General features: G+C 42.5%; 2 protein-coding genes and 1 long non-coding RNA gene across 5 annotated transcripts in view; 1 reads left to right on the forward strand and 2 right to left on the reverse strand.

The window, feature by feature from the left end:
• TASP1 (taspase 1) overlaps positions 1-12,228 on the reverse strand; it is a 534,161-nt gene that overhangs the window by 127,354 nt on the left and 394,579 nt on the right. Inside the window, exon 15 of one of the 2 annotated variants that reach the window (XR_007067463.1) lies at positions 1-12,228. This exon is cut by the window's right edge and continues 21,829 nt beyond it. The exons of the other annotated variant lie outside the window; for it this stretch is intronic. The gene's annotated coding sequence lies outside the window, so the exon portion shown is untranslated. 2 annotated transcript variants of the gene reach the window in all.
• ISM1 (isthmin 1) overlaps positions 1-12,228 on the forward strand; it is a 105,450-nt gene that overhangs the window by 10,852 nt on the left and 82,370 nt on the right. The window lies entirely within an intron of this gene.
• On the reverse strand, positions 5,295-7,562 carry ISM1-AS1 (ISM1 antisense RNA 1). Its single transcript, NR_040043.1, has 3 exons — positions 7,328-7,562; positions 6,859-6,979; positions 5,295-5,984 (listed from the first exon to the last, which is right to left on the reverse strand). It is a non-coding gene; the product is annotated as an ISM1 antisense RNA 1 (long non-coding RNA).

Genomic DNA, 12,228 nt, shown 5'->3' on the forward strand with positions numbered 1-12,228 from the left:
AAGAGTGGCAGTCATTTTATTATTATTTTTTTAAATACAGCTTTGTTGAAGTGCAATTGACAACTAATAAACTGTACATATTTAAATGAAAAATTTGACAATACTGACACCTGTAAAACCATCACCATAGTCAAGATGATGAATAAATCTACCATCTGAAAAGTTTCCTTGTGCTCCTCTGTGAGCTTCAGCAATCTCCAAGCAACCACTGATCTGCCTTCTCTCACTGTAGATTAGTGTTGGATTTCCTAGACTTTTATATAAGTGGAATACAGAATGCATAGCATTGCATGATATGGCTTTTTGCTCATGTTGAGATTCATTCATGTTGTTCTGTGCATAGATAATTTGTTCCTTTTTATTACCAATTAATATTCTATTGTGTGGATATACCACCATATGTTTACCCATTGACCCATTTAGGTTATTTCCTATTTGGCAACTATTAAAGATGCTGTGAACATTCAGGTATAAGCCTTTGTGTGAACATTTGCTTTCATTTCTCTTGGGTGAATACTTTGGAGCAGAATGGTTGGATCATATAGCAGTTGTATGTTTAGCTTATTAAGAAATTCTGGAAATCTTTTTGGTGCACTCACATAAAGTGTTTAGGATCTACAACAATCCAGGTACTCCCTTGGAAAACTTCACAGCATTTGAAGGTTGAATCCCAGGATGATATTTTTCTTGGTTAAAATGTAAGTGTATGAACTACAGTATATTATGAAATACTGAAAGAAGGAGAGAAGATACTGTCTCCTTAGAAGGAATTCTCCTTTCTTTTCAGAATGCCCAAAGTAGTCTCATGGGTCTCGATTCTCCAAGTGATGGTGGTGACAGACATTGATTGTAGTGACCATCATGGTGGGGGTTGTGAAAAGAAAATTCGATGCTGGACCAAAAAAAAAAAAGAAAACAGGCCGGAAAAGTGTCCCAGAAGAAAACTCTACTTCTCCCGTGTCCTGCTGTCCAATATTCCTTGATTCTCTTGCCCCATTCCTTGTCCCCATGAGTGGAAATTAAGAAAACCAGAAATAGATTTCGTATCTCCTGCCTGGGGCCTCAATTACATTGTGACATAGAAACCTGGTATGGATTTTGAGCTCAACATGAATTGGAAGCCAAGTTTATTGCTGGGAATCTTCAAATTTCAGGGAGTAGGAAGAGCAAAAATAAAAATGGAGATCCTGCCGGGCGCGGTGGCTCATGCCTGTAATCCTAGCACTTTGAGAGGCCAAGGCGGGTGGATCACCTGAGGTCGGGAGTTCGAGACCAGCCTGACCAACATGGAGAAACCCCATCTCTACTGACAATACAAAATTAGCCGGGCGTGGTGGTGCATTCCTGTAATCCCAGCTACTCGGGAGGCTGAGGCAGGAAAATTGCTTGAACCAGGGAGCTAGAGGTTGCAATGAGCCAAGACTGTGCTATTGCATTCCTGCCTGGGCAACAAGAGCGAAACTCCATCTCAAAAAAAAAAAAAAAAAAAGGAGATCCCATTAGATGTTCCTAATTCTTAGCCCAAGAAATGAATTGAGGAAATTCTGACCTTCTGGGCACATGGGACATAGGAAAATACAGATTGTTAGTGACTCACATAGGATTCTCATTATGAGGGAAAATACTGTCCTTCTCTTACACATAAGGTAACCCATCCATTGCCCAAATGTTCACTAGGTGCATTCATGGCCCAGAGATAGACAAGAAGCTCAGAATGGCTTCTCAGCCCTTGCGCCCAGAATGCGATCTACAGACCACCAGTATTAGCATCTCCTGAAAGCTTGTTATAAAATAAGAGTTTTAAGCCATGCCCAGAACTACTGAATCAGAATCTGCATTTTAAAAATGTTTACTTATATATATTTTGGGGGTACAGGTGCAGGTTTCTTAGGTGCGTATATTGTGTAGTAGTGAAGTCTGGGCTTTTAGTGTACTCATCACCTGAGTAGTGAATATTGTACCCAGTGAGTAATTTTTCAGCCCTCATCCCCTCCACCTCCCACCTTTTGGAGTCCCCAGTGTCTGATTACTCTTTGTATGTCCGTGTATGCCCATTGTTTAGCCCCCACTTATAAGGGAGAACGTGGTATTCGACTTTCTGTTTCTGAGTTATTTTGCTTAGCATAATGGCCTCCGGTACCAGCCATGTTGCTGCGAGAGACATGACTTCATTCTTTTTTATGTCTAAGTAGTATTCCATGGTATATTTCTTTACCCAGTCTTCCACTGATGGACATTTAGGTTGATTCCATGTCTTTGCTGTTGTGAATAGTGCTGTGATATAAACAGATGAGTGCGGGTATCTTTTTGATGTATTGATTTCTTTCCCTTTGGGTATATACTCAGGAGTGGGATTGCTGGATTGAATGGTAGTTCTCTTTTTGGTACTTTGAGAAATCTCCATACTGTTTTCTATAAAGGTTGTGCTTATTTACATTCCCACCAACAGTGTATAAGTGTGCCCTTTTAGCCATGTCCTCGCCAACATATGTTGCTTTTAGATTTTTTAACAATAGCTATTCTGACTTGTGTAAAATGGTATCTCATTGTGGTTTTAATTTTTATTTCTCTGATAATTAGTTATGTAAAGCATTTTTTCATATGTTTGTTGTCCTCTTGTATGTCTTCTTTTGAAAAATGCCTGTTCATGTCCTTTGTCGACTTTTTAACGAGGTCATTTGGTTTTTTCTTGCTGAGTTGTTTGAGTTCCTTGTGGATTCTGTATGTTAGCCCTTTATCAGATGCAAATATTTTTTGCATCTGATAGTTTGCAAATATTTTTTCCTACAGAATCTGTATTTTGACAAGGTCCCCAGATTAATCATATGCAGGTCATGGTTTGAGAAACACTGGTCTACATGCATGTTTTTCTTGCAAGTTGCAGGTCCCAGAAAGCACTTAATACAGGTCCTGTGTTATCCAGCTATTGCCTAATAATAATGCTGTAGGACAACTACTCCAAATCTCAACGGTCTGCAATTATAAGCATGTACTCTCACACTCATGGGTCCATGGGTCAGCTGAGGTTCAGTAGATCTAGGCAGGGCATGGCTTTAAGCTATGGATTGGGTCTAGGTTTACACTATGGGTCTCCCATTCTTTTGTGACCAGCAGGTTACCTGCCACACATTTCTCTCATGGTGATGGGATTACACATCAGTCATATCTGTTACCATTTCATCAGCCAAAGCAAGTCACAAGATCCAACAGACTAGCCAAAAAGTGGTCATGGGCTTTGGAGTTGTTTTGATTCCAGTTCTGCTCCTCAGTTAAGTCTCTGCCCCTAAGCAAAATCCTTACACTTCTCTACATCTCTGTGTCCCATTCAGTAAAATGGGATAAGAATAGTTAACATCACCAGGGCTGTGTTGAGAAGCTGCTCAGCCTGGCTGTGTGGCCAGAGTCAGGCCAAGAGAAAGGGTGAGTCCCAGAGGGCCCTGCCACTGAGAAGTTAGAGCTGGAGAAAGCTCTCACATGTCATCCTATGGGTTGCTCTGGCAGCACATGATTCGGCCCCCACCAAGGGTTGTTTCTGAGTCAAGAAACACATGCCCATCACTTTCCATCTTTTTTCAGAATGGTTGTCCTTTCACTGCTTACAAATTGTGTGCTACATGGTAGGAACTGTGCCTGCAAATACGTTATTCATCACTCACGGGGCTTGGACAATATAAGCCTGCGACCACTTTCCCTGATGAAAGGGCACCGTTTCCTACCTTCCTTCCCCAGATGCAACAAGAGAAACAGAACATGCCTGGGGACAGGAGTTCCAAAGCTCTGTGCATAGTATATTGTACTTCCCTTTTTTCTTTTTTTTGAAATGGAGTCTCATTGTGTCACCCAGGCTGGAGTGCAGTGATGCAATCTTGGCTCACTGCAACCTCCACCTCCTGGGTTCAAGCAAGTCTACTGCCTCAGCCTCCTGAGTAGCTGGGATTACAGGCACCCACCACCACGCACGGCTAATTTTTATATTTTTAGTAGAGACGGGGTTTCACCATGTTGGCCAGAATGGTCTCGATCTCTTAACCTTGTGATCCACCCACCTCGGCCTCCCAAAGTGCTGGGATTACAGTCGTGAGCCAATGTGCCCGTCTCGGCCATCCTTCTAACAAGGACCTGCTCAGAGTTACAATTCTTAGGAGTAATACAGTAGAAGACAATTATGTTAACAAACTTCTCACCTTTCCAACTAATGCTGGGATATTCATTGAGTTAGCATGGGAAAGACTGGCACCCATGATTCAATTGCCTCCACCTGGGTCCTTCCCACAACACATGGGAATTCTGGGAGAAACAATTCGGTTGAGATTTGATTGGGGACACAACCAAGTCATATCATTCCACCCCGGCCCCTCCAAATTTCATGTCCTAACATTTCAAAACCAATCATGCCTTCCCAACAGTCCCCCAAAGGCTTAATTTATTTCAGAATTAACCCAAAAGTCCACAGTCCAAAGTCTCATCTGAGACAAGGCAAGTACCTTCTGCCTATGAGCCTGTAAAATCAAAAGCAAGCTAGTTACTTCCTAGATACAATGGGGGTACAGGTATTGGGTAAATACAGTCATTCCAAATGGGAGAAACTGGCCAAAACAGAGGGATTACAGGGCCCAGGCAAGTCTGAAATCCAGCAGGGCAGTTAAATTTTAAAGCTCCAAAATGATCTTCTTTGACTCCAGGTCTCACATCAAGGTGACACTGATGCAAGAGGTGGGTTCCCATGGTCTTGGGCAGCTCTGCCCCCGGGGCTTTGCAGGGTACAGCCTCCCTCCAGCTGCTTTCAGGGGCTGGCATTGAGTGTCTGCAGCTTTTCCAGGCACATGGTGCAAGCTGTCGGTAGATCTACCATTCTGGGATCTGGAGGACAGTGGCCCTCTTCTCACAGCTCCACTAGGCAGTGCCCAAGTAGGGACTCTGTGTGGGGGCTCCGGTCCCACATTTCCCTTCTGCACTGCCCTAGAAGAGGTTCTTCATGAGGACCCTGCCCCTGCAGCACACATGAAGTCCCTCCCACAACACATGAGAATTCTGGGAGATACAATTCAATTGAGATTTGAATGGGGACACAGCCAACATATCAACATGCCCTTGGCCCAGCAATTCCACCTGAGTATGTGCCCAACAGAAATCTATTCACTAATGCACTCAAAGACCTAAAAAATAATGTTCATAGCAGCACTGTTTAAAATGGCCCCAACCTTGAAACAACCCCAATGCCATCAACAGAATGGATAATAAGGTAGTTAAGTGTACACAGTGGGAATGAACAAATGACAACTATATGCAACATGCACAATTTCACAAATGTAATGTTGAGTGAAGGAAACCAGGCACAGTAAAGTACATGCTGGATAATTCTGTTTAGGTAAAGTTCAAAACCAGGAAAAAGGAACCTGTGCTGTTGGAAGAGAGTTACCTTTGTCAGGGAAGTGATGAAAAGGGAGTCCAAGGAGGGCAGCTAGGGTGCTGGTAATGTTTTGCCTCTTGATCTAGGCATTGGTTGCCTAGGTGTCTTCAGTTTGTGAAATCTCATTGAGTTGTAGAGTTATATATGTGTATATTTCTGTAGGAATATCATACTTCAATTTTAATAAAAGAGTAAAGAATGCAGCAGGCAGGGTACATGGTGTAGAAGAGATGGCTGATTTTCACTGGGAAAGATTACCCACAGCCCTGGAGTTCACTCTCTGGGCTCCCTGATGTGCGTACTATCCCACAGATTGTTCTCCAAATTAGAATGAATGCAGGCTGGTTTCAGTATTATGGGGGTGCTCCTCTGCCTCAGGTCCCAGTGCCATTGTTACAACATCAAAGACCAACTGCTGGCTGAGATGCGGTCCATATGAAAAGAGTGACCAGCAAATTTACTGCTTGACTTCATTCCCCTTAAAAGGAACTGGCTCCATGGTCCTCCTTCAAAGCTCAATTGTAGACATATATCTTCTTTATAGGACATCGTTTACAATAAAGAGGAGCAATAACTTAAAATTTAAAAAAAAGAATACTTTTGAGAGCACTGTGAGGTGGACATTCCATTTAATAAACATCACTGTGGTTACATTGCCCAAACATTCCCAGAAGTCCAGCCATGGGCCTGAGAGACTTCTACTGGACATGGTGACTTTTGGGGACTAATTTGAATTATATTTTTATGCTCTAGCCCTCTCCCTAGGCTCTGAAAGTTCTTGAGAAGGTCATTAATGAGAGGCAATCTACTTCAAACCAGAGGGCCACCTCACTAAAATCAGGCAAAATGGCAAAATTCATAGCCCATTACTCATTAACTTATTTGGAGCTGCCCTTCAGTAGGGTAAACATTTTTTTAAGGGTTGGGGCCAAATTAAACTCCTGGATCGATTATACATAGTTCCCCAATACCCACATGGACATCACTCCACATAATTCCAGTGTGAAAATCTCACAGACTTATTAGCATTTCCAGATACTAGAACTCAACTAGAAAACAACAAAGTTGTTTTTATGCCTATCAGAAAATGAAGAATGTTATTAACTTTCCAAGAAGGAAAAAAGTAAAATTATTTATAATATACAGGATGTTTTTGGCTTCACATGGAGTCTGACCCAGGTGGTGGAGAAAGTCACATCTACGATCAAAATGACCAGCCTCCTGAAAACTGACCAATCCAGAATAATCCTTTCAGGTTCACTCATGATAGCAGTTGATCAGCCCATAGAGGATACAACGTTCTAAAGAGTGGGCAAGTCATCCACTTCTGTTTAACCCATTACTCCTGAAAAGGTTCAGCTCTCCATACTTTGCTGGAAAAAGGCTAACAACTCAGTGCATCCTTCCCTCTCTGCTCCCCTCACTGGTACATTCAGGAAGACACGAACCAGGTGAGACAACTGAGAGCTCCTTACTGAGAGTGTGAAGTGTGATGGTGGCACAACATGCAATTCCGAAGACATCATGAAATGAGATAAATCTGGGGAATCCACATCAACTAGAAAAAAACTGGAAACATTTGAAGAGGCATTGGGATCACAAAGAGAGTGAATCTAAACATTGAACAGCAGGTATTAAATAGAAATAATGAAAGGCAAGTTCTCAGGAAAAAATCTGTGGCAGACTAGGTATTCGAAGTTCTGTTCCAGGTTCTCCCCAGGGACTCATTGCCCTGAAACTCTGTCTGGTGTGGTTCTCTCATGCCCCACAATGGTTCTTTCACTTCTTATTCACCAAGGCCAGGATTAATGCTAAGGTCTGGACGAACCCAATAATGGGCATGAATGGCCTTGGCCTTAAGTTTTCAGGGATCCATCTGCAGGGTCCTCCCTGAGATCTGAGAAGGGTTTTACTTACTTCTTTCATCTTAAGGTGAATGCTAGTGGGGGAATTATTGTGGTGTGCCCCAAGAACGTTCTGTGTCTTGGTCCTGACAATCTACATGAAGTACCTTTTGTGCCACCAGGATACGTGGGCACATGACAGGTACTCACATACACAAGGGTCACTGCACATGGCTGCAGGAATGCCCAGGTTGGACCGGGGCTTCATCTGTGCTCCAACCCACCTGCACTCCATGGTGAGGCACTCTGTTTAGAAGGCAGGTTGCAGACACTCACCAAATTCTAGAATGTTGTTGTAGGCAAGAAAGCCAAGCCCCAATGTCTCATTTCATTGACAAAGAATCTAAAACCTGGAGAAATTAAAAGATTTGGCTAAGACCATACCATTCATTTATCCTACAGCCAGTACCAGACTCCAAAGCAAGTCATCTTTCATGAAGCCACACAATCCCCCATTTCTGAACATCTGTAAAAGTTTTTATAGCCCCACTTAGCTAAAGAGAATTAGAGTAAGTGTACATCTAAAGTGCTGGGATCCTGCTACATGGTGGTTGCTCTTAGGTTGTTACAGGAGCAGAAAGGTAATTAAATGGACATGAATTGTCTCTTTTATTTAATATACAACCAAACTGCAGTAAGGCAAATGAAATAATGTACATATAAGCATTGAGCACTGCCCAGCCACATGGCATTCTACAATTCCATTCATTCATTCAGCACTTTCATATCGCGTGGCTGTGATCAGCAGATATTGTGCTAGGCACTGGAGATTCAATAGAGAACAAGCTTATGTTCTAGAAAGAAAACTGACAATAATTGATTCAGAATAAAGGAATTATTATAGATTGTGATAGGTGCTTAGCAGGACATAAACAGGGAGCAAAAGATAGGGAATAACTGGGAGTTCCTACTAAAAGAGGGTGGTCAAGGAAGGACTTGATGGAAAAGTGACACTTGAGTCCTGAGCTGGGGGAATAAAAGGACCAGCTCTGCAAAGAACTCAGGAGAGCCAGTCAGGCAGACGGAATCACAAACACCAAAGCCTTGAGATAGGAAGGACTTTGGCATGACTAAGGGATGGAAAAGAGACTGGAGAACAGTGTGTAAGGAAGAAAGTGGCACATGAACTTGCAGAAAAAAGCAAGGATTTTGCAGGTCATGATAAAGAATATGGCTGTTCTAGGATTGGTGAGGAAGCAGCCATTGAAGAGCTTCTAAATGATGGCTCCATCTGATCAGTGGATAATGAGAGGGAAGAACATAGATATGTTAGAAAATTTCACAATAATTCAGGTAAGAGGTGATGGGATGTGGACCAGGGTAGAGAAGAGTGGATGGATGCAAGGCACAGTTCTGAGACAGAGCCAACAGGATATGCTGTTGGATTGCATTTCAGAGTTAAGAAGTGAAGAGTCAAAGACAGCTTCCAGTTTCACAAGGGTAGAGTTCATGTCAGTGGATTTATATGGGACATGTGGAATATGAGATGCCTCTGGGACATGTAAGTGAAGATAATAGCAGGGAGGCTGTGAAGTGGACAGGGAGCTGAGAGTGAGGTGTCATGATGAAAGTGGTAAAAGGAGAACCAAGAGGTGTGTCACAGAAGCCAGGGGAGAAGAATGCCTTAAGGAGAGAGGACTTCTATCGAATGCTGCTGTGAGAACAAAAAAGATGAGGCCAGAGAAGTGCTCATTCAACTGGGCAACGCAGCCATGACTGGTGACCTGAATGAGGTCACCAACTGCTCTGCAGTTGCAGAGGCATCATGGGAACAGACTCCAGTGTCTATTGGGTAAAGGAACAAATGGAAGGTGAGGAAATGGAGACAGAATATACAAATAAGTCTTGCAAAAGTTTTACTATAAAAAGGGGAGATATATGAACATGTGGTCAAAAAAGAGTTTTTGGTTCATGTAAGATCAGAGATACCAGGGCATCTGTGAGGCTGATGAGAACGATCCAATAGAAAGGGAGAGATTGATGATGCAAAACTGAGAGAGGAGAAATGAGGAGTGAATTCTTCAAGAAGGCAAGGGGCTATGTGTGAGCATTGGCCTTTCACAGAAGCAGGAAAGCTTGTTCTGTGTAACAATTGGGAAGAGAAAGAAAATGAGCTATGCAGACAGGAGTATAAATAGAGTGATGGTAATAAAAGAGTTACCATCTCATGACTCCTGTTCCATCAGTGAAATATGAAGTGAGGGCAGGAGCACAAGTAGGACGTTTGAGGAGAGAAGATATAAAATGGTCATCTTGGATACTGGAGCAAGTAAGGTTGTGAAGGAAGGGCAGTTGGATTTTGGAACAGTGCTTAGTATTCATTTGAGGGTTTGAGGACATGAATCTAAAATAAAGCAAGTTTGTCAAGTTGGATGCTTTTATTGTTCCCATCACCCACCTGCTTGGCTACTAACCTACAGAAGTTGGATCACTGAGTTCAACCAAAATGGAGGTGTTGCCAGTCAAATATATAAGGAGAAGAGAAAGGGGCAAGCAGAGTTGAGGGCCGTTGCAAGGAAATGATTAAAATAAAAGAACACTTGTTGAAGAAGGAAAGTAAAAACAAGAGAAGGCTGAAGGGAGGTGAGAAAATGGCAGTGGCTTGGAGATCTCAATGAGTTTTAAAACTGGAAAAATGAGTTAAAAGAATGGAAAGTGTCTTTATGTAGAAGGTTTACTGACAAAAGGTCTAGGGAAGAGGGTGGTTGAGATGCAGTAGAGGGAAAGGGTATGGGAGGTGAGGAGGTCCAAGAACTGGGGAGGTCATCTACATGGATGTTGAAGTCACCAAAAAGGACAACAGGAGGTCAATGGTAAAGAAGACTAAGCCAGAAGCTGGGCTTTTAGATGAACGGAGAATGACCAGAAACTCCACAGAGCAGTTGGAACATCCAGCATCTTGAAAGGAGCAGGATTTGTTTGTTCAGTTTTTGTTTTTATTTTTCAGGAGGAAGGGGAAGAAAAAGTCAGGAGTTAGCCATGGAACCAAGAAGATCCAGGAGAAGGTTGAGGGGATGTTCAGAGAAGTGGAAAATGAGAGATTGATTATCATGGAGGAAAAGCCCGAGAAGGTCCAGTAAAAGGTTTGGGAAGGTGAAGGAGGACAGGCTGAGTCCAATTAAGTGTTCAGAGATGTGTAGAATGGAGAGCCTGGTCTCTTGATGGCAGCTGGGGGAGCCATGATGGGAATGGTCCTGCACTTCTCTTGAATGGAGGTGAGACTCTTTGCTCATTGGCATGATGGCTTCTAGGCTGTTGTTTCTATGCTTATTAAGGTTGGTATAAAAGCATCAGATGAGGGGTAGGAATTACTTGAGCCTTGATAGGTGAGGTTGGCAGCCATAGCTTAAGACATCGGGTTCCTTACTGTTCATGTGTGAAGTAGTGGGAGCTGGTAGTTATACAGATTTCACCTGATTTTATCTACTTGTTTTTGTCATATACTTAAATAGTCCCTACTGTGGGCCAGACACTTTTTTAAGCATTTGATTAATATTGACTTATTTAACCGTCAAAACAACACCTTGAGGTAGGCATTATTGTTATCCTCATTTTACACAATAAGGTTAAGTACCTTGTCCAAGTCACACAGATAGCAGAGGTAGAGGCAAGATTTGAACTTTGGCTGTCTGGACACCAGAGTCCATGCTTTTAATCACTGTGACTGCGTGGCTTGGGGAAGAAGTTCCTTGTCTATTACCAAAAAAGAACTCTTGCCTTGGAATTCAGAAGACATAACTTTGAGTCCCTACTCTGTCACTAACTGGCTGTGACCATGGGCACAACATTTAACATCTTTCACCCTCAGCTTTCTTAGTGGTCAGTTCCATGCAGTCATTCAGGGACCCAGGATGATGGAGGCCCTGATGTCTTCTTAGCAGTCCCAGCTCAGAAGTGACACACATCACTTCTGCTCACATAGATCATCCTTTGATGCGGGATGACTTGGAAATGTATTCCCTGATAAGGGTTGCCTCCAGCTTGGCACAAAGACACGTATTTTTGGTAGAAAGCTAGCCCTCTCTGCCTCATTACTCAATATGGCTTATGCTTTTAAGATTCTGCAGTGTTCCACACTTAGGGCTGTCCTCTTAGCTGTTTGTCTTATTCCTGCTTGACCTCTAGGTCTCTCTTATTATAAAAGCAGTAAAACGACCATCTGAATGCCATTGACTGCCATGCATCCCCTCACTTTTCAAATATAAGCTATGAATAAAAAAAAATTAGCCCTTCACTAATGCCAAAACCTAGGGAAGAAATTAAGCATGCCCAATATTTTAAGCTATATCCATCACCGTTAAGCATCTGTTTGCACTATGTCTATCCATTAACTAATCAGCAAAACATGGTTTCAGTAGGAATTGTTACAACCCATTTGATATGGAATGACAAGACTTAGAGGTTCAGAGTATTTCTGCAGTTAGAATAGCAGGCACAGTTTTCCTGAAATAGATATTTGAAGGGAAGATGGAATTGTTTCTCAATTTTCCACATAATATGTTTGCTTAGTGGAATGAGGATAGACCTCAATGCTCATGGTATTTGCAGAAGGGAGTGTTTGTCTATTACCACATCTCCAGTGTAGGCACTGGTGATTCATCTGCAGGTCAGAAAGAGAGCCCTGTTAGCCAGTTTAGGAAGGTCACATTTATAGACAAATCCAAACAAGGTACTTTGCTATCCTCTCTTTTGTTCACAGACAGACAAGATAAACCTAGGCAGAGAGAAAACTTGCCTCAATCTTGGATTAAATGCAGAGGTCTGCTTGAACATTCCAAGGTCAAACTAAAAGTCTACAAGAGCAGGAGACTTGATTCAAAACAGCTCGTCTCTGACTGGTTTTCATGTGGGCAGAGGGGACTCTCTCGACACTAAGATGACCACAGCTCACATAGAGGTGTCAGCTGAAATATG

The sequence above is a fragment of the Homo sapiens genome, chromosome 20 (genome assembly GCF_000001405.40).
Source record: "Homo sapiens chromosome 20, GRCh38.p14 Primary Assembly".
NCBI lineage: Eukaryota > Metazoa > Chordata > Mammalia > Primates > Hominidae > Homo > Homo sapiens.